The sequence below is a fragment of the Homo sapiens genome, chromosome 3 (assembly GCF_000001405.40).
Source record: "Homo sapiens chromosome 3, GRCh38.p14 Primary Assembly".
In the NCBI taxonomy this organism is placed as follows: Eukaryota; Metazoa; Chordata; class Mammalia; order Primates; family Hominidae; genus Homo; species Homo sapiens.
In genome coordinates this window covers 11,590,904-11,611,612 of record NC_000003.12, presented here as the reverse complement: position 1 = coordinate 11,611,612, position 20,709 = coordinate 11,590,904, and the positions used below count along the sequence as shown (strand labels likewise).

Here is a 20,709-nt window from a genome sequence, read left to right as displayed (position 1 = left end):
GACAGTTGCAGCTGTTCATCTTTGGTGTCAGAACCAGGTTTCAGTCCCGTCCTCTCTTCTTTCCTCTCTGGATTAGTTTCCTGGGGCTGCCAGAAGAAAATTCCGCAGACTGGGTGGTTTAAACAACAGAAATGTATTAACTCATTGGTCCTGGAGGCTGGAAGTCTGAGATCAAAGACTCAGCGGGCTTATTTCTCCGGCAGGCTCTCTCCTTGGCTTGCAGATGGCCGCCTTCTCTTCTCCCATATCCTCGCATGGTGGCCTTTCTGCAATGTGTCTTTGCCCTAATCTCTTGTTATAGGGACAACAGTCAGATTGGATTAATGACCTCATTTCACCTTAATTACCTCTTTAAAGTCTCTGTCTTCAAATACAGCCATGTTCTCTGCAGTACTGGGGTTTGGGACTTTAACGTGTTAATTCCAGGGGTGGGCATGGTTCAGCCAATAAGCTCCCCTTCCTCCCGCCCCCTCCCCCTCTCTTCTCCGCCTTCCTCCCTCCTCAACTGTCTTCCTCCCATTTATTTTCCTCAACCAGTGAAGCATCTTGCACACCTAGAAAGATGATGGAAGTTGGGGAGTCTAAATCCCAGGTTTCTACTTCCAGTGCTTCCATTAATCAGCTTTGCGACCTTGAGAAATTCACTTAATTCTTGAAACACTAGTTTCCCCGGCTGCAAGGCGGGAGCTCTTCTTCCCCGCCTCCCTCACAGGGCTGCATTAAGAAAAGTCAGAACAATAGATCATGTTGTAATACGCTTATAAAATAAAACACACTCATAGAAGATACAGGAAGGCTTCTACAAAGTATAGTGTGTATGAAATGATTTAGATTCCTTGAAATTCTAGTGAAGATGGCATATGCTTCACTTCTACCAGTTTTATTGTGCTGTTGTTATCCTTATCTATATTATTAGCAGTCCAAGATAGAGGCTGTACTCTCTCAACACAATCTCATCTTTGCTCTTAAACAAAAAGAGTAGAGCTGCTCAAACCAAGCCCAGTCCAGGGTGTGGACCCTGCACAGCCCTTCCCAGTCCAGCCGGCTCCCCCGAGGCGAGGTCAGGCTCTGCACGATTAGAGCTGAGCCTGGGGCCGCCCAGAGCATTATAGTATGAGAGGTGCTTTGTGTTGCCACCCAAGGGCTGGGGGATTGCAGGCGATCCTTGCGCTTGGGCAGACAGCACGTCACGGCTTTTATCTGCCGGCTCGCATTGCAATGGGCGTCCTATAAAAAAAGAAAAAAGTGAGCCAGAATGGGGCTAGCCACAAGTTGAACAATTTGAAGGAGATTGACTTCACGGTGTCTTCTCCCCAGCTGCTCGACCGTGAGACAAAGAAGTATTATTTGAAAGAAAGTGAGTAAGCCCTGGCTGCCGGGGGCTTCTGCCCTGCACAGTGATGAGAGGGTGAGATGTGAGAGGGGCGTGGAATCTGGGAGCAGGGTCCTCTTACCAGGGTGCCCTCTCGCCAGGACATGATGTCAGTCGGTTGCCATGGGCTGTGGTCAGCCTGAAGGAGACACATCAGTGCAGCGCGGCTGGCTTGGCCGACCGAGCTATGGTTTTGCTTCTTTGATTTAGGTTCAAACATGATAAAGGGGCTGGGAGGGGGGCTGAACGTAAAGCCTTAGACACAGCGGAGATTTAAGTTGTGGACTTAAACTCTCTGTTCGGCACGGCATAGAGATCTTTGTCAAAAATCTATCCTTAAAAGTTACAGCAAGATACATTTGACTGTAGTTTACCCTCTCCTTCTCCATAAAGACATTCTCATTTCACCCTGTGCTGTTGGTCTAATCTCCAGAAAATGCCCATAAATACCATTATTTTGGTTAATTGCTCAGAGCCATGCCATCGCCTCCCATGCAGCCCACACCCCAGTCTGGCGATGGGCCTGCACAGTTGGTGAGGGGCCATGTGGCCGAGACCCGGGTTCCCATTGCTAACGCCGCCTTATCCCTGGGAGAGTCCATTAATCCCCCTGAAACCCAATCACTCGCCCCATCTCTGTGTTGAAGGTCATGGCCTTGATTGTTCTGTTCTATGAAAATCGAATCTGCATTTGGTGAACCAGATTCTATTTGTCCAGGTTTCAGCTGGCTACAACTTTCTTGTAGTATTCGAATAAATGAATGTTGCTGGAACTTTGAGAACTAGAAGAGTCCTTGTTTTTTAATGAAATCTCCCTTAATCATGAGATGCTAATAATTAGCTAATCTCAAAAAATTTTGTTAGTTGATTGCTTTGTTGAATCTGCTTTTTCTACCACTATGTAAAGTGTGTTCTGTAAAAGTTTGGAAAGTATTTCTTGATGAGCAGTAAAAGGAAACTTAACTTTAGAAGATGTATCTCTTATGGAAGATGTAGTCCATTAGAGCCAAAAGGAGGCTGTCAAGATGATCTAATCAAACCACTTAATTTTGTGAGTAAAGAAACAGAGGTTAGGCCAGGCTCGGTGGCTCAGGCCTGTAATCCCAGCACTTTGGGAGGCCAAGGTGGGTAGATAACTTGAGATCAGGAGTTCTAGACTACCCTGGCCAACATGGTAAAACCCCATCTCTACTAAAAAATTTGAGAAAAATTAGCCAGGCATGGTGGCGAGCACTTGTAGTCCCGGCTACACTCGGGAGGCTGACGCAGGAGAATCACTTGAACCCAGGAGGCAGAGGTTGCAGTGAGCCAAGATCTCGCCACTGCACTCCAGTCTGGGCGACAGAGTGAGACTCCGTCTCCAAAAAAAAATGGAGGTTGAAGAGACCAGTGCTGTTTTGAAGCCTCTGGAGTTAGGTTCTGTGTGAATCATTATTTTATGTACCACTGAAAAAGAAGCAATCTTGGCTGTTAATATATGCCAATTATTTGTAAGATAAACTTCAGTCTTAGCAATATTAAAATGTAGGAAATAGTCTTAGAATCTTTGAGATATGGTAATGACAGGATTACAGTGGGGTTACATTTTCCACGGTTCCTCCCTGTTCTCCTCCCCTCTTTCTATTTTGACTTTGAAAGCAGAATTTTCTTGTGATATTTTGTCAAAATCATATTATAGCACAGCATAAAGCGAGGTGATTCTCTCTTTTCATTTCTCTCTGTTAAACTTCTCTGCCATTGAAATAAACATGCTGATTCTTGTGAAATCTTAGGCCAAAATCTTTGCTTATCTTCTTTGGGGAAATTTGAAGGAATATTATTGATCCATGTGTTAGAATTGCCACCATGCCAAAAAACCACAGGAGTTAATTTTGTATATATTCGGCATTTTTCTTCATTTTATCTAGGCATTTTTCTAACGTGTGCCTAGATAAAATTATCTTCATGTAAAAGGCCAAATACATTTAAAAAATAAAACTTCTTTAGTTGTCATTGGGAATTTGAAAGAAGTAAAACTGACAGTTGTAGTTAAGCCAACTTGTAAAGCTTAAAATACGGGGTTACTCAGCTCAAATCTTCCTTCTGTTTATTCTTGAAAAAGAAAGATAATCTTTTCTCCTTTTTCAATTGCCAGACCATTGTGAAATTTCGAATACATGTTAGAACAAGAGGGAAAAGCCTCTTGCACTCCCAAGATAAGTTCCTTTTGGTGTATGTGCTTTTGCCTCCCACCCTTGTGGTCAGGGTCTGTATACATTTCATCATGTATTTTTGTGACAGTACTTTGCACAGCCTTCAGTGTGTCACAGGCACTCGACACACTGATTAAAAGCTGAGCTGCAGCTTTATAGGATCTGATGAATCCAAGAGCCTAAGTCACCTCAAGTGTTTCACTGATTTGACTTTTTTTAGCTTAATAAATAATGTTTTAAAAATTATCTGACTTTAATATTCTAGGGAGATGTAACTGTAATAACAAAAGGTTTGTTTTTATTTCTGGGGAAATTCACAAATGCCTGTTCTTAATTGTTTAATAGTTTAGTGTGAAAAGCCTGAGAGAAAAAAGAATCTAATGATATTGGAGCCTTATACTGCTTATAAATATATTCTTATTTTGGAGGAGGAAGAGGTAACATTTCTACTGAGACATAATTCACATACTATACAATTCACCCATTTAAAGTCTACAATACACTTCAGTGGTTTTTAGCATATTTAGAGTTATGCAACTTTTATCACAATCAATTTTAGAAGGTTTTTGTCATTCCCCCAAAGAAACCTGCCACCCGTGAACTGTCACCTCCCATTCCCCCTTCTCCCAGCCCCCAGCACCGACTCACCTGCTTTCTGCCTGTGAGCCTCCCTCTTCTGACATTTCATAGAAGTGGAATCAGACAGTAGGTGGCCTTTTGTGTCTGCTTTCCTTCACTCAGCATACTGTTTTGTAGGTTCATCTGTGTCATGGCATGAATCAGTATCTTACTCCTTTTTATAGCTGCATAATATTACATCATGGATATTTCATTTTTTACATCTGTTAGTTGATGGACATTTTGGTTGTTTCCACTATTTAGCTATTTTAATAATGCTGCTATGAACATGCATGTACAAGCTTTTGTGTGGACATTGTTTTCATTTCTCTTGGTTATGTACCCAGGACTAGAATTGCTAGGTTATGTGGTAACTCTGTGTTTCATCAGTTGAGGAGCTGTCAGACTGTTTTCCACCATGGCCATGCTGTGTCCGGAGTTGGTTCCTTCTGGTGGGTTCTTGGTCTCGCTGACTTCAAGAATGAAGCTGGGGACCTTCGCGGTGAGTGTTACAGCTCTTAAAGGTGGCACGGACACAAAGAGTGAGCAGCAGCAAGATTTATTGTGAAGAGCAAAGGAACAAAGCTTCCACAGCGTGGAAGGGGACTTGAGTGGGTTGCTGCTGCTGGCTGGAGTGGCCAGCTTTTATTCCCTTATTTGTCCCTGCCTATGTCCTGCTCATTGGTCCATTTTACAGAGTGCTGATTGGTCCATTTTACAAACCTTTAGCTACCCACAGAGAGCTGATTGATGTGTTTTTACAGAGTGTTGATTGGCACATTTTACAAACTTCTAGCTAGCCACAGAGCACTGATTGGGTGCATTTTACAATCCTAGCTACAGGGTGCTGATGGTGCATTTTACAATCCTCTTGTAAGACAGAAAAGTTCTCTAAGTCCTCACCCAACCTACAAGTCCAGCTGGCCTCACCTCTCAATGCCACTTTACAATTCTACCAGCAGCGTACACGTGTTCCAGCTTCTCCACATCCTTGCTAACACTTTTGTATTGTCTTTTGATCATAGCCATCCTAACAGGTGTTAGTGGTATCTCTTTGTGGTATTGATTCGCATTTCCTTGATGGCTGACGATGTTGGACATCTGATATGGTTTGGCAGTGTCCCCACCCAATCTCATCTTGAATTGTAGCTCCCATAATTCCCACGTGTTGTGGGAGGGACCTGGTGGGAGATAACTGAATCGTGGGGGCGGTTTCCCCCCATACTGTACCCGTGGTAGTAAGTCTCACAAGATCTGATGGTTTTATAAGGGAACACCCCTTTCTCTCATTCTCATTCTCTCGTCTGTCATCATGTAAGACATGCCTTTCGGCTTCCTCCGTGATTGTGAGGCCTCCCCAGGCATGTGGAACTATGAATCCATCAAGCCTCTTTCTCTTTATAAATTACCCAGTCTCGGGTATGTCTTTATCAGCAACGTGAGAACAGACTAATACAACATCTTTCCATGTGCTTATTGGCTATTTTCATATCTTCTCTTCGGAAATGCCTATTTAGATCCTTTTCTATTTTTTGTTATCTTTTTAATTGTTGTAAGAGTTCTTATATTTTTAAATAGATCTTTAAACACTCCTTATTCTATAACATCTTTGATCTTTAACATATCCTAAAGCTCTGTAAACTGCCCACCCTGTCACCTTGCCTCATTGATTCAGTAGGTCAGTTGTGCTCTGCACTGTCAGGTTTATTAAATGAATTAAATGCCACCTGCTTCCAGGAGCACAAAATAAAGTAGGGAGGGAAGCACCAGAGTGATAAGTTTCTATAGATGTTCAGAGGAAGAGGAGATGACCTTCAGCTGGAGGAATCAAGGAGGACAGCCTGATGGAGGAGGCATTTTAAGTGGTTTTGCAGGATGTATGAACTTAAATGAGAAGATTGGGGGAAGAACAAGTTCTCTGTGGAATGGTGATGAGTCTAGTTTAACTTACTGGGCTGAAATTTTCAGGGCTCATAAAGAGGAATACTAGGAATAAAAATGAGAAAGGCAGTTGGGGTTTCGAATGCAGAAGAAGTCTGCAGTCACTGGATATCTGGGGTGAGGATGGGCCAACATGCTGAGAATGGCGCTTTGGAAGATGGAATTCACAGAGCTGTGGAGGATTGGGGGTGGGGGGTGGGCGTGGGGGCGCTTTGGAAGATGGAATTCACAGAGCTGTGGAGGATTGGGGGTGGGGGGTGGGCGTGGGGGCGCTTTGGAAGATGGAATTCACAGAGCTGTGGAGGATTGGGGGTGGGCGGGGGCGTGGGGCGCTTTGGAAGATGGAATTCACAGAGCTGTGGAGGATTGGGGGTGGGGGGTGGGCGTGGGGGCGCTTTGGAAGATGGAATTCACAGAGCTGTGGAGGATTGGGGGTGGGCGGGGGCGTGGCGGGCGATGGAAAGCAGCCCTGCGGGGTTTCCATCTCAGAGACTGAGATGCATTAGAAGACAGAAAGGCCTGTAGTTAAACTCCTGTAAAAGTTGTTCAATCTCACGGTTTCCAAATTTATTTGACCCCAGGGTCACCCTTGTTTTTTTCGATGAATAACATCTGAGGTACATACCTTGAGTTTTGCTGTCTTAGTTCACCATTACACAAGTAGCAATTTCTTTGTAAATGTTGGTTAGTTGGTTGGTCACTTGTTGATCATAGAATTGCATCAGTAATTCTAAGAGCTGGAAAGAACATGACACATTAGCTAGTCCAGCCCCTTGTTGTATGGAGGGAGGCCCAGAGAGGGGAAGCACGTGCCCAAATTCACCCCATCCTAAATAAAGGAGGAGTCAAGATTGCAATGCAAGTGTCTTATCTCCCAGAACAAATGTCTGCTTCAGTTTTACAAAAATAATTTTAACCCCACCACACATACAACAGTTACCACTCTTGTCTAACATACAAGTGTTGGGTTAAGGCCATCTAGGGAGGGGCCCCAAAGATGCATAAAGGCACATAACTGAACGGACCTGTCCCTGACCTTATGTGCGGATTCTTTTCCTTTGCTGTAAGCCTTGTGTGAGGCTGCACAGTCTTAGGATGAGGCGTTGTCTGATTGCAGAGGCCATGGGTTCTTGCCTCCAGCTAACCTGTTAACTGGAGGATCTTGGGTAAGTCACGCTATGTTTTGGGGCACAGCTTCGTCATCCATCAAATGAGGCAAACCGTGCTTCCTGGGCTCCTTCCGGCGCCGGCAAGCTGAGATGCTGAAGTACTACAGCACGCATTTACCACCGTCTCCCCGGGACCTGGTGGAGGCGTCTGTCACAGTCCCTGGTGAAGGACACCTGGAGTGCCTTCATGGGGCCTGTAGCCCCAGCCCTGGTCCCACCCCCACCCGTGGGTTAGAAATCTCCAGTGTTTTCTGAGGATTCTTGTGGAATTTTTTTCGATGTTAGACATCAGTGATTCAGTCTTAAAGATAAGCACTGCATCCGTTGGATGAACTTAAAAATGCAAACAAGCACGAGAATTTTTACTAGGATGGAAACTGGGGAGGGGAGTGGGAATGTTGTTCTTAACCCAAGGGTTTTGCTTTCCGCGTCACAGTGTATGCTGGTGGAATGAGTGACGGCTCCTTTTTTGGAGTGATTTCAGTCTGTTGCTGTAGTGGTTGTTTTCCATAGCAACTCTTGTTGCTACACAGCTGGCATCTGATGAAATGATGACCACAGTTCGGGGGTCCAAGCCCGAGGACTCCTCATCCCCTCGCATCCTGCCAGGGGTGTTGAGAAACCCTGGGTGGAGAGGAGGGTCAGCTGGTGCCATTTTGATGAGGTTTGATTTGCAGTTGCTGCGTTCCTGGGGGTATCATCAGGGCTTCCCAGAAAGTTAGCTGGGCTTGGGCTTCTGAAGCTTTCCCTTGGAAACACCCTCTTCTCTCTTTGTGGAGGAGGAAGTATCACAAATAACGGAGATAATTAGAAAGGATATTTTTCTAATTTATGAAGGTATAAAGATGAGCACTGCTTTTTTTGTTTTTTAAAATGAAAATTACTAAATAGGGAGTATAGGCCAACCAAGATCATACTGAATTTCTGAGTGTGGCAGGCCAGCGTGAGGCCTGTGTTTTAGGTATCTCATTTAAAATGGAAAGTTCCAGTTTGCTTTGGGGCCAGAATCCTTAAAAGAAATCCTGGCTGGAGGTGTATTATGGGTCACTGTATATTTGCTAGTTTATATCTTGCTGAGTAAATTGGCCAAGTTTTTATTTTTCCTGGTAAATATTCAGAGGGTTTTTCCTCACTCCTTTCTCCAACAAAATCATATTTGTCATATGTGTATGAAGTAAATGACTGTTAACACTGTCCACACATCTGTGATGATATGAAAATTAGTGGTGGCAAACAAAGATTCCTTTTCTTAGGTACCACAAGGCCTCGGATGAAGTTGACTTTATCCTCGTATTACTCTCAAATTGTGACCAAATGGAAAGAAAATTGGTCAGGTCCGAGAGACCAAAATGTACAGCACAACAAAAGGGTTATTATTTGTGAAAAATTTAGGTGCTCCCCCCATGTGACTTAGAAAGTTTGAAGTTTTCTCTTAAAGTAATCATTCGTCTTTATAAAGTTTAGAAGGTACACAAGCTTTATTACTATGAAAGGCTATGCTTATTTTAATTCACAGCGAGGCACAAAGTGATTGCCTAGTACAAAACCTTTTAAAATAATAATGAAAAACGCCAAGATGTCAAATCAAATGGAAATGTGGACCCTAATTTGATTGCCTAACTTCGAAACATGTTTCAGAACTGCACCTACCCACGTATTATGCTTGCGATAAGTTATATGCCGAAGCTTTGTGCTGATAATATTTTAATGTGCAATATTTAGCGTACTGTAAGAATTAAACATTTATTTCCCATTAAACGATGTATTTATATTTCTTTTAACTTTCGGTACAAATGTGTGAACTGTTAGCCCACACACTTTCCTCATTCTTTTAAAAGAAATTAAATACCAAGACTATATTAGAAAAAAAAAACAGAACAAGCAGGAAAAGTGAGTTGGGCATAGTGGTTTCATGAATGCAGTGAGGTCATTCTCCTATCTGTATCGAGTGGAATACCCACACGTGAAAAGACCTTTGGTGTTTTAAATTAACTTTTGAAATTGTTTACAGAAAATGCTTTTTGCCTCCCCCCTGCTATTTTATTGCAACTTTTTATTTTAAACTCTACCCTAAAGAGTGACTGTGCTAGAAAACCACGTTGATGTAAAATGTCTCATGGTTGGCAGCTAACCACACTCAAACCATGTTCAGAGGATGGCAGGCGGCCCCGTCCCATTGCCAAAAACTTTCCACTGGGAGTAGTTTTGTAAGGGGCTGGCTGGGCGGGCGGGGAGCCTGGGGGACTGAGATGGGGGCCTTTCTCCTGCTTAGTGACTACATCATCTCTCTCTGCGTAGGCGAAGCTGCTCTCAGGGGAGAACCCAGAATACAGACCCTGCCGGTGGCCTCTGCCCTCAGCAGTCACCGCACCGGCCCTCCCCCAATCAGCCCCAGCAAGAGGAAGTTCAGCATGGAGCCAGGTGACGAGGACCTAGACTGTGACAACGACCACGTCTCCAAAATGAGTCGCATCTTCAACCCCCATCTGTGAGTTCCTCTGTTCTTATTTTGGCTTAAGGGTGCTCCGTGCTGGGGCCTTATTTGTTTTGCAACTTTGTGCTAATTCTGATGTTATCATTTGCATACTTTATTTGAAAAGGATATTATTTACAAAAGAAAAATAGTATTCATCTGCCAAAAAGAAGGTAGTAAACTCATTTTGATAACTCGCGGTGAGGTGGAAGTCTGGCTTCCCTCCAGCCTACTTGTAGGACCTTCCGCATGTTAAACTCCATAGAAGTTAATGTCCCCTTAGAGCTTCTGCGAGCAGTCGAGTAGTCATCTGCTAAGCTTCGCTTTTTTTTGCCCATACATATTGATTGTTTTTAGGAGAATCAACATTTAGTGAATGTCACTGTGCACCAGACAAATAGAAGGGAAGCTCAGCACCTTTTTGACCAAGCAGACGTCTGTAAAGTTCTTACTCAGGAGTCTAGGATTGTACACACGAAGAAGTGTTCATCCCACCTTATGTGCCCCTGGTACAAACTTGGGACCTTCCCATAAAGGGAAGCCAGCTTCCTATGCTCATGACAAGGTGCCACTCACCACATCCAGCCAGTCCTTGATCTGCCACTGACACTGTCTACCTTCTTGACATGAATTGCTTCAACTCTTTGGGCCTCAGTTTTGTTATTTGTGAAACACGGGCTGAAACCACAGATCCCTGAATCTGTGCAACGTCACCATGTTTCCACTGGAAAAGCCTCCCGCTTCCGTGCACCCGGCTTCTCCCCTTTGCACTCTCCTCTCGGCACACACCCTCCTCGCAGAGGGAGAGGCTTCTCCCCAGTTTTCAGGACTTGGAGACGCCCCACCAGCTGCCCAGAGAGTCTACGGGTACAGTGGTGAGGGCGGTTGGTGTTCTTGGAGTTATCTTGCCAATCCTGGCAAGGTTGCACTGAGTATTGGAGGGAGTAGCTTTGTGTGTGCAGGTACAGAGGTCCTCCTCCTTCCCCCTTCCCAAGCGCTCACTCTAGCATGAGTCAGTGTTTCCTCATTATTCAAGATGCTCCAATTCCTGAGGGCACTGCTTTTTCCCCACAGGAATACCTTCCTGTGAGGGCTCCTCCTTGGAGGCAGAGTTTCCGCAGAGAGGTGGCCCAGCTCCCGCCTCTACTGCCTCAGCTCCAGCGTCCTCGCATTCCGCTCGTTCCAGTCAGCTTGGACTGTTGTGTTCAGTCATAAGACACTGACAGAGGTATTTATCCTCAAATAAATCACTGCAGTGTTAGTCAGAGGCTGAGCCTGCAGTCTGGAGCCCTGGAATTTGCTACCATCAGGAATCCAGCAGGAAGGCCCTGCAAACAGTGCACTCCGCAGGCAGGGCTAGCTTAACTCCTGGGTGCTCAGCTCTTGCAGTTCATTCTTTTATTCCCACGAATTTCTTATACTTTCCCATCTGCTTTTCCCAAACCCAAATAAGAACATTTGGTCTTTTTTTTTTTTTCTTTTTCTTTTCATAAGTAAGAAAGGGGAAGGCAGCCTGCAGACAAACATGCCTTAATTTAAATCCTGATTCTGCCACACAACAGCTGTGAGGCTTTGGACAAGTCACTTAATTTAGCTGGGCCCAGTATCCTTGACAGTGATATCCTTGTCATTGGACAATGACAATGACAATGATAATAGTTAATGTATAGAGCTATTACGAGGACTAGAGTTAAAATATGCAAAGAGCTTGGCATGGTATAGCACTTTGTTGATGGGGGTTGTTATTTTTATTCCATTGTTCAGATACTGGTTATGATGATAGAGAGTAAGAAAATATACATATGTATATATGGTGGATTTAATGTTTGATAGTATGTGCCTTTTAATCAAAATGCCTGGGTTCAATTCCCACTTTCTTTATCTTTCATCACAGATAATATTAATTCCTTCCTCATAGGATTATTGTAAGGACTTAAGAATGGTGCCTGGCAGATAGTAAGTACTCAGCTTTAGTCATTGTTAATATTATTATTAGAATATTAAAATGTTCAGAAAATAATTTTGTGGCTAGGCGCAGTGGCTCACACACCTGTAATCCTGGCACTTTGGGAGGCCAAGGTGGGTGGATCACCTGAGGCCAGGAGTTCGAGACCAGCCTAGGCAACATGGCAAAACCCTGTCTCTACTAAAATTACAAAAAACTAGCTGGGTGTGGTGGTGCATGCCTGTCATCCCAGCTACTCGGGAGGCTGAGGCATGAGAATCACTTGAACCTTGGAGGCAGAGCTTGCAGTGAGCCGAGATCGCGCCACTGCACTCAGCCTGGGTGACAGAGCGAGACTCTGTCTCAAAAAAAAAAAAGAAAATAATTTTGTAGCTCTCTTGGTGGCTAAAAATAAGACTTTGAGGTACGGGTCTGTGATGACACTATAAATAATTTTAAGTGTAAATAATAGAATCGCCAAATTTTATGTGCAAATCACAATTGACATTATTATGCAAAGTTTTAGGAAAATAGAAACAGGAGTAACCTCCTCTCTCAGACTCCCTTACACCAGCCAGGTGACTCCCCCCTCATTTTTCTTTTATTGTGGTAAAAAATATATATATTATAAAATGTATTTTCTTAAGTGTACAGTGTAAGGAGGAAAGGCGATTGGCGTGTGGTTAGGTCCTTCTGAGTGTTACTTGTTTACTGTGTGATAGTTATTTTAGTAACATTACCATTGTTTGTACTGTGTTTTCTAAGAGCCTAATGACAGATTTCACAGGCAGATTGGAAAGATGCTGCCTGTCTTACTTCTTCGTGTTGTAGGGTATTTAGTGCTGCTGTTTGATGAAATGTTTCCTATTTGGGCTATAGCATGCTCCCTCCTTTATATTTAATGCCTAAGAAGTTATCTGCAATAAATGACAGATTCATAATTATTTGAAAAGGAATAGCCTAGTGTATCTCTTTAAGGAGATTACAAAATGGTTTTTGTGCTTTATCTTCTTAGAGTTTGTTAATAACATGTAATGAAAATGTGATGTATTTTATCACTAAAGCAGTCATAATAATTCTGGGGAAAGGAGTGTTATTGGAAAAGAGTTTTGGCTGGGTGTGCTAGCTCATGCCTGTAATTCCAGCACTTTAGGAGGCTGAGGCAGGCAGATTGCTTGAGCCTAGGAGTTTGAGACCAGCCTGGGCAATATAGCAAGACCCCCATCTCTACAAAAAATTTTAAAAATTAGCTTGGCCTGGTGGAGTGTTCCTTTGCTCCCAGCTACTTGGGAGGCTGAGGTGGGAGGATAGCTTTAGCCCAGGAGTTTAAGACTGCAGTGAGGTGTGATCACACCACTGCACTCCAGCCAGGGTACAAAAGGGAGACCCTGCCTCTAAAAAAGGAAGGAAGGGAGAGAGAGAGAGGAAGAAAGAAAAAATAGTTTCGGTAGCTAGCTAACAAGGCCTGAAAGGTGCACGGTTTGGCTGCATTTTATTATAAGCATCATATGGAGACATTTTCTAGTAGAAAGATGGAGAGATCAGGTGGCTCTGAGCCAGAGTAAGAAGCAGCAGAGGCCGGGCGAGGTGGCTCGTGCCTGTAATCCTAGCACTTTGGGAGGCCAGGGTGGGCGGATCACATGAGGTCAGGAGTTTGAGACCAGACTGATCAATATGGTGAAACCCTGTCTGTACTAAAAATACAAAAAAAATTAGCTGGGTGTGGTGGTGTGCGCCTGTAGTCCCAGCTACTCAGGAGGCTGTGACAGGAGAATTGCCTGAATCCAGGTGGCAGAGGTTGCAGTGAGCCGAGATCATGCCGTTGCACTAGCCTGGGCAACAGAGCGAGATGATGTCTTATAAAAAAAAAAGGCAACAGAGAGTAAGACTGAGTTCTATCCAGTTTGATTTAGGGGAAGGGGAAAAAAAGAGAGGTTTCCTTAGTGATTTCTTCAGAATTTTGAAAATTAGAATTCCTGGGATTTTATTCCAGCCTCTTAGGACCTGGTGTATTTGAACTCATTATTAATTTTTTTGTTGATATTGTTACCGAACCACCAGGGGTTTGGTCTGGGTCCTGCTGCTCACCACACAGAAAGCCAATGACTGGGATGAGGAGTATTGCCAAGGAAGAAGGCTTTCATTGGGTGCTACAGTCCAGGAGATGGGGCAAATCCATCTCCCTGATGGACTAAAGCTGGGGTTTATATAGCAGGGAAGAAATGAAACAAGATTTAACAAATAGGAACTTGGGAGGAGCAAGGACACAATCATGATGAAGGACGGTCCCACATCTCTTTGTCTGGATGTAGTTACCTGGTGGGCTTCAGTTCTTTGACACTTGTTTTTTGTTTTTGAGAGGACTGAAGGTCTTTTCTTAAAGACCTCAGATAAAACAAATGTAAGTTTTAAGTTTTAAGACTAGAAAGGTCAATTTCTGCATTTATCCATTAACCTATCCATGACACTGTTGGGTTGGTTCCAATACGGTGACCCTGAGAAATACATTATTTCTGTTTATTTCTTAAGAAAAGTCTTAAGAAGATGAATGTCTGTTTGGAAGTTGAAAAGTACTCTGTGTTTGGAAAGAGTGGATTAAAGGATGGGAAGAGGTGGAGTGGGATTCATCTTGTGGAAAAATCAGTAAGTTTTTTTTTTAATGGCCCTTGATATTCAAGTGCAATCTGGTAAGAAAGAGCTCTTCCCCTTTCTCCTGCCTGCCTGCCTATTTATCTACTTATTATCCATATGGACTCCGGGGTTCCTGTCTTACTGAATGAATTGTAGCTGTCCCAGAGTTGACAAACAAGAACCCTGTCCACTGGTCCTATGTCCTTGTCATAACCTCCATTATTTCCTTGTGGTTGTTGAGCACTTTCTTATTTTCTGGCCTACAAGTTGTTCTAGGCTCATCTTGTAGCCTACCTGCTCCAGCCATGGAATTAGCCGTTTTTCCAGGGGACTCCAGATCCTTTTAGTGGGGAATAGGATTTAGAAGCCCAGATCCAGGTGCTAGGTGTTATCGTTACTATGGATTACATAGTTTTTCATGGTAACTTATTGTTACTATGATCACATTGCTTCTAGACTTGATTTGTCTAATAGTACAGCAGACACCAGCCACAGGTGTTGATTTTAAATTAAAATTAAAAATCTAGTTCCTCAGCTGCAGGAGTCACATTTCAAGCTTAGTAGCCACATGTGGCCGTTCGCTACCATATCGGACAGCACAGATACAGAACATTTCTATCATCACAAGAAGTTCTATTGAACAGTGCTGTTTCTAGATCCTTTCCATGGAAAGAGCTAGGAGATAATGAGTTCCTGGCGATGCTCCAGGGCTAACCCAACTCTCCCGAGCTCCTCCTCGCCCTCCCCGTTCCATACTCTATCTCCCTGGTTCACCAGTAAGAACTACATCCACACATGTACTCATGGTCCACTCCTGCAGTGCACTTCAGGTAGTTTCAGAAGCATGGTGCCAATACCACTTTGAAAAACAAACTAAAAAGAGTTCAGGATTTGTTTATGGTTTTTCCTTCTCCCATGCTGAGGGTATAATAGTCACAGGATGAATTTGAAGAGTTACTTTCCCTTTTCTCCTCAGTATTGTTGTATTATTTGAAATATATTGTTAGGTTCATTCATTTCTGTTTGCATTCAGTTTTAGACTTTTTCCATCCTTTCAAATTTTATTTTTTGAGTATGTAAGATATGAACATGCTCCCCAAAGTTAAAACTGTACTAAAAAGTGTGCTTTTAATGTTACTCCCTACCCTGTCTTGTTCACACCTTTTACTCCCTTCCCTGGAAGCAAAGCATCCTTCTTGTGTTTCTGTTTTGGTAAATCAAGCAAATATGTGAATGTTTTATCATTTCCCCTTCTTTCTTTTTTTTTATTTTATCTTATTTTATTATTATTATACTTTAAGTTTTAGGGTACATGTGCACAATGTGCAGGTTAGTTACATGTGTATACATGTGCCATGATGGTGTGCTGCACCCATTAACTTGTCATTTAGCATTAGGTATATCTCCTAATGCTATTCCCCGCCCCCCCCACACCACAACAGTCCCCAGAGTGTGATGTTCCCCTTCCTGTGTCCATGTGTTCTCATTGTTCAATTCCCACCTATGAGTGAGAACATGCGGTGTTTGGTTTTTTGTCCTTGTGATAGTTTACTGGGAATGATGATTTCCAATTTCATCCATGTCCCTACAAAGGACATAAACTCATCATTTTTTATGGCTGCATAGTATTCCATGATGTATATGTGCCACATTTTCTTAATCCAGTCTATCATTGTTGGACATTTGGGTTGGTTCCAAGTCTTTGCTATTGTGAATAGTGCTGCAATAAACATACGTGTGCATGTGTCTTTATAGCAGCATGATTTATAGTCCTTTGGGTATATACCCAGTAATGGGATGGCTGGGTCAAATGGTATTTCTAGTTCTAGATCCCTGAGGAATCACCACACTGACTTCCACAGTGGTTGAACTAGTTTACAGTCCCACCAACAGTGTAAAAGTGTTCCTATTTCTCCACATCCTCTCCAGCACCTGTTGTTTCCTGACTTTTTAATGATTGCCATTCTAACTGGTGTGAGATGGTATCTCATTGTGGTTTTGATTTGCATTTCTCTGCATTTCCCCTTCTTTCTTACATGTGCGATAGCCTACTGTGTGTACTCACTTCAGCCTTGGTGTTTTCTTATTTTGTTTGTTTGTTTGTTTGTTTGAGATGGAGTTTCACTCTTGTTGCCCAGGCTGGAGTGCAATGAGGCAATCTCGGCTCACCACAACCTCCACCTCCTGGGTTCCAGCGATTCTCCTGCCTCAGCCTCCCGAGTAGCTAGGATTATAGGCATGCGCCACCATGCCCGGCTAATTTTGTATTTTTAGTAGAGATGGGGTTTCTCCATGTTGGTCAGGCTGGTCTTGAACTCCCGATCTCAGGTGATCCGCCCGCCTCGGCCTCCCAAAGTGCTGGGATTACTGGCGTGAGCCACCGTGCCTGGCCGCCTTCGTGTTTTTCAATGACACATCATGGAAATCTTTTCCTACCAGCTCCTCACTCTGGATTTCAGCTGCGTGGCACTCTATTACCTGCATGCATCAAAGCTCATCCAACCAGTCCCCTGTGTTTGGACATTTTGGCAATTTCAGGTGCTTTACAATACTAACAGTGCTGCAATGGATGACCTCGTGCATTTTAATATCTTGTGTATTTGTAATAGAATTAAAACTCTTGAAGGCAAACAGTGGGTGCAGTGTAACAGTATGGTAAATTCATATCGGTTGTGAGAGTCATTCTAGGCTGCTTCGTGGGTAGAACCTTGAGAGGGCTCTGTGCTGAAATGAAGAGGTTGTCACCTGTGTGTGTGTAGACTTAGAGTGGGATGTGTCACCTGTGAGGAAGGGAACATTTATTGAGTGCTTACTTCAGACTGGCCGTGTGTTGGACACTTGAAATATATTATCTCATTTAACTCTCACAATAATTGTGACCCTTTACACTAGGTAGGCACATTTCTACATCTATCTGTCTATCTCTGTCTTTTTGTCTATATCAGATTGATTTTATAAAAGCAAAAATTGAGTTTGTGAGAGGATGATGTGTCTAAGTTGTTGGCAGCTGGGATTAACCCTGCTGTGTGTGACACCAACACCAGTGATCATTTGATGATGCCATAGCTACATCCCACCTGGGGAATTACATGCAGCTTTAGAGGTGCACATCATGTATTTAAGATGACACTTGACCAGTCCAATGTCTGGCATGTGTTAGGTGCTAAATAATTTTATGTTGACTTGAATTGGACCCTGTCTCTAGGGGAAGTGCTGTTTGAGCCCACGTTCCCGTTGGAGCAGGCATCCTCTCTTTGATCAGCAGTATATATTTACAGTGTATTTGCCCCCGGCCACAGAATAGGGCAGAGCCCCTAGGCTCACACTGGGATCAAAGCCATGGTCACTAGCCTTGTGCTCCATCCAGCTGTGTTTGCCACAGACCCACTGAGCAACCCATAATGAACGAGGAAGGGCCCAGTGAAAGAAAACGCAGCCTCCCCTCGCTGATGGGGGGCCTTTGAAACACGGTCCTGGTGTGAGATGGGCCCCTTGTTGTCTTTGCTTCTATGACGCTTCCTTTGAAGTGTTTGCTGGAGCCCGATGTCCCGATTCTGGTGTGCCCTTGAGTGTGTATTCCAGGCTTGGGCTCTCCGGTTCCTGTTGCAGCTCCTCTTCCTCCTCTTCCCTCCCTCTTCCTTTGCTTGCATTGTCCTTTCATCCTTCATTGTTCATCTGGTGTTTTGTTTTGTTTTGTTTTTTCCTGGCCCTGTCACTTCACTTTTCTCACCATAGGGGTGAATAGAAAAAGAGGGAAAAACAAACTCAAAACCACGAATTCATTCAGCTTAACAAAAGGTTGGAGGAAGCCTTTGAAATCAGGTGCTGGGCATATAATAGGAACTCAGTAAGAAGAAGAAATTGATGATTGGCTAAAATGGGATTGGGGGTTTTCCCTGGATTTTCTTTATCTTTTGCAGAAGAGTTGATTATATATATGAGACCTCAAATGTTCTGCAGTATCTGTAGTTTTTGGTATCTGGATGTAAAATCTTTGGCAACATGATCATACCCTCTTTGGCAGCTGTTGCTTCTATGTCTTTAGAGCCTTTAGTTTGGATGTATATGGACCAGTTACCAAGAGACTATTTCACAAATTCCATGAGAGTGAAGGAAGCAATTCCTCATTTCAGGTTAAAAGTGAACCCAGAGGAAATGGAAAAGCTGAGGTTATTTTAGTCCCTTGACCCTGCTAGCAGCTGGGACGTCGTAAACAGTAATGTGTATTTATAGGCAAAACAAGTTATTGTGTTCATGTCTACACAAGCTTTAGAGAGAGGTGAACTTTTCATCATGGAGAATGATGATAGGTCCTGATTCTCAGCATCCAGAGAATTGGGAGGGCTTTTTTCCAGGGCTTGTTAGTAACAGCAACTCGTGAGCCCTTGTGCGCTGGCACTGTGCTGCGTGCTTCATGGGCACGATCGTTTTATCCTCACAGTTCTATGAGGTGGAGACTATCGTTATCCCTCCTTTACAGATGGTAACACTGAGAGTTCTGTAACTTGTTCAGGGTCACACACTCTGGTAAGTACCAGAGCCAGGATTCAAAACTCAGGCTGTGTGATCCTAGAGCCAGTGCTGTCAGCCACCATGGGATATTTATGCTAATAGCACACATATCCAACTGCGATGAATCATTCGATACTGGACCCTAATGCCTGATAGTTTGGGACGATGCAGCCTAAGCACTCTCAAACCACACACTACTGAGGATATTTGGGAGGTGGGGACTGTTCATTTTAGCACACACAAAGGAGGATGGAGGGAAGTAAAGGGGTGGAGGCCCCGGGACGTTAGTAGTTCGGCACACTCCAGGTCCCCACAGCCTCACCAGGGTTCCCTCAGGGATTGTGGAAGGGGGAGTGCTGTCCAGCTGCCCCCAAGAGGCCTGAAATGAGTCTTTGTACAGGTGAGAATCCCACAGGAACAAACAAGGGTTTTCTTTACGCTTGGGAAGCTGCTTTTTAGATTGTTTTAATTCTTGTTTAAAATCTGTGGCCCAATTTTAAGTTAGTGGCCCAAGCCAATAGTAACCTTAGCCTAAAAGATTCAAACTGGAGCATTTTATAATTTACTTTAAGTATTTGAAGACATGTGTTTTTTTTCCCTCTAGATTTCATAAATCAAAGCCTATGGAATGGAATCCTTCAAACTATCTGCTCTTTCTTTCTGCCACGCCTCCTTGGCATAGTCTAAACTTGGTAGGGTCAGTGCTGAAATTCTATATTCTTTACTTTCATACTGTATCTTACAAGTATTCCCAAAGGCATTCTGGGGATTTAAGAGGATATTTTATGGTCATAAATGTAGTTGTCCTAAATTACTAATGTGGAAACTGCAATATTGTTGTTACATCGGGATTTTTAGTTTCTTTAGCATCCCCCCACTTTGCCCCATGTATGTCAGTTGTGTGTGTTTCCATTCCCATTAGGGAGGATCGTCACCGAGGAACTGATTCTCTGTGAGGTTTGCTTCAGGGTTGTAACCTGCCTTCCTGAGGTGGAAGCAGAGCTGCTCTTCTCTGAGGGCCACTCTTGGATCTGCAGATTCCCTGGAAGTGTTTTGCTAATGGAGTGTGGTACCTTTAAGTAAAGGTCACAGGCCTGACCTGTGTTGTGTGGGTTTCTTGTTTGTCAGGCTAGAGGCATTTTCTCATTTTCACAGTTGAGCTGAAAACAAAGGCCTCCTTATCCGAGCAGGGAGCTGTGCTCTTAAGAGCTGACATCAGCCTTCTCCCAGCAGGCCTCGCTTCTGCCTTAAGAGTCTTCGCAGAGAGCTGGGAAGGCAGTTCCCCATCTTGCTGCTGGCATTTTTTCTGGCCAAACGACGACACAGAATGAAGAAATGCCAAGGGGGGACAGGAGTCAGAGAAGCAGAACAAAGGCTGTTCCAGGCTGCACTGGGGACTTAGGCTTTAGCCTCTGTGGTTCTGATCTGTGCCATGAAGTTTATAAAAGTGGGACGAAAACCTTGAAAGGACTTTTTTCTCAAAGAGGAACGCCTATTAGAGGACGTTTGGGGTATGTGACAGAATGTGCATTGGTCTGTGCAGAGTCACCTTTTAACATGATGCAAGTGTATTCAAAATGTAAGGAAACAAAACAACCCAGGATTCTGCTGTTTTCCTGATCCTCTGAGTGTGCTTTTTGGAATGCTGTCTTCGCGAAGATGCTTCTGCTCTGGGCACATATGTAGCAGCTCTTTTTATCCGTAGCTAGAGGATTAACCTCGACATTGCCTGTGACCTTCATAGACCTCTTACTGTGACACAAAACCAGTTTGTCCTGAATGTATATGAAGTGCTGTCCCAAATCTACATTAATAGATTTGATTGAAGACTGGGAAGAGAAATGCTAACAAATTTG

The 20,709-nt window shown here is 43.6% G+C and overlaps 1 protein-coding gene across 13 annotated transcripts in view, besides 8 other annotated features; it reads left to right on the top strand.

Moving 5' to 3' along the window:
• VGLL4 (vestigial like family member 4) overlaps positions 1-20,709 on the top strand; it is a 165,749-nt gene that overhangs the window by 110,203 nt on the left and 34,837 nt on the right. For 11 of the 13 annotated variants that reach the window (XM_047449259.1, XM_024453835.2, XM_024453836.2 and 8 more), the window contains one exon: positions 9,591-9,780. In XM_047449259.1, coding sequence (XP_047305215.1) covers positions 9,591-9,780 — 190 coding nt within the window. Of the gene's footprint in view, positions 1-1,242; positions 1,358-7,031; positions 7,290-9,590; positions 9,781-20,709 lie in introns of those variants that run through there. The other 2 variants (XM_011534269.2, NM_001284391.1) reach the window with 2 other exon arrangements.
• Positions 1,317-2,089: an enhancer, noted in NCBI's record as "H3K27ac-H3K4me1 hESC enhancer chr3:11650998-11651770 (GRCh37/hg19 assembly coordinates)". NCBI's record gives its function as "activates a minimal SCP1, AML or CMV promoter by ChIP-STARR-seq in naive H9 embryonic stem cells {active_cell/tissue: H9 hESC(naive)}" and the evidence as "EXISTENCE:reporter gene assay evidence [ECO:0000049][PMID:30033119]".
• Positions 9,142-9,739: an enhancer, noted in NCBI's record as "H3K27ac-H3K4me1 hESC enhancer chr3:11643348-11643945 (GRCh37/hg19 assembly coordinates)". NCBI's record gives its function as "activates a minimal SCP1, AML or CMV promoter by ChIP-STARR-seq in primed H9 embryonic stem cells {active_cell/tissue: H9 hESC(primed)}" and the evidence as "EXISTENCE:reporter gene assay evidence [ECO:0000049][PMID:30033119]".
• Positions 9,142-10,338: a biological region, named in NCBI's record as "H3K27ac-H3K4me1 hESC enhancers GRCh37_chr3:11642749-11643347 and GRCh37_chr3:11643348-11643945".
• Positions 9,428-9,867: an enhancer, noted in NCBI's record as "active region_19430". NCBI's record gives its function as "activates an Ori minimal core promoter by ATAC-STARR-seq in GM12878 lymphoblastoid cells {active_cell/tissue: GM12878}" and the evidence as "EXISTENCE:reporter gene assay evidence [ECO:0000049][PMID:35858748]".
• Positions 9,740-10,338: an enhancer, noted in NCBI's record as "H3K27ac-H3K4me1 hESC enhancer chr3:11642749-11643347 (GRCh37/hg19 assembly coordinates)". NCBI's record gives its function as "activates a minimal SCP1, AML or CMV promoter by ChIP-STARR-seq in primed H9 embryonic stem cells {active_cell/tissue: H9 hESC(primed)}" and the evidence as "EXISTENCE:reporter gene assay evidence [ECO:0000049][PMID:30033119]".
• Positions 10,724-11,018: a silencer, noted in NCBI's record as "tiled region #8254; K562 Repressive non-DNase unmatched - State 15:Elon". NCBI's record gives its function as "represses a minimal TATA promoter and a strong SV40 promoter by Sharpr-MPRA in K562 cells {active_cell/tissue: K562}" and the evidence as "EXISTENCE:reporter gene assay evidence [ECO:0000049][PMID:27701403]".
• Positions 17,334-17,864: an enhancer, noted in NCBI's record as "NANOG-H3K27ac-H3K4me1 hESC enhancer chr3:11635223-11635753 (GRCh37/hg19 assembly coordinates)". NCBI's record gives its function as "activates a minimal SCP1, AML or CMV promoter by ChIP-STARR-seq in naive and primed H9 embryonic stem cells {active_cell/tissue: H9 hESC(naive and primed)}" and the evidence as "EXISTENCE:reporter gene assay evidence [ECO:0000049][PMID:30033119]".
• Positions 17,865-18,396: an enhancer, noted in NCBI's record as "NANOG-H3K27ac-H3K4me1 hESC enhancer chr3:11634691-11635222 (GRCh37/hg19 assembly coordinates)". NCBI's record gives its function as "activates a minimal SCP1, AML or CMV promoter by ChIP-STARR-seq in naive H9 embryonic stem cells {active_cell/tissue: H9 hESC(naive)}" and the evidence as "EXISTENCE:reporter gene assay evidence [ECO:0000049][PMID:30033119]".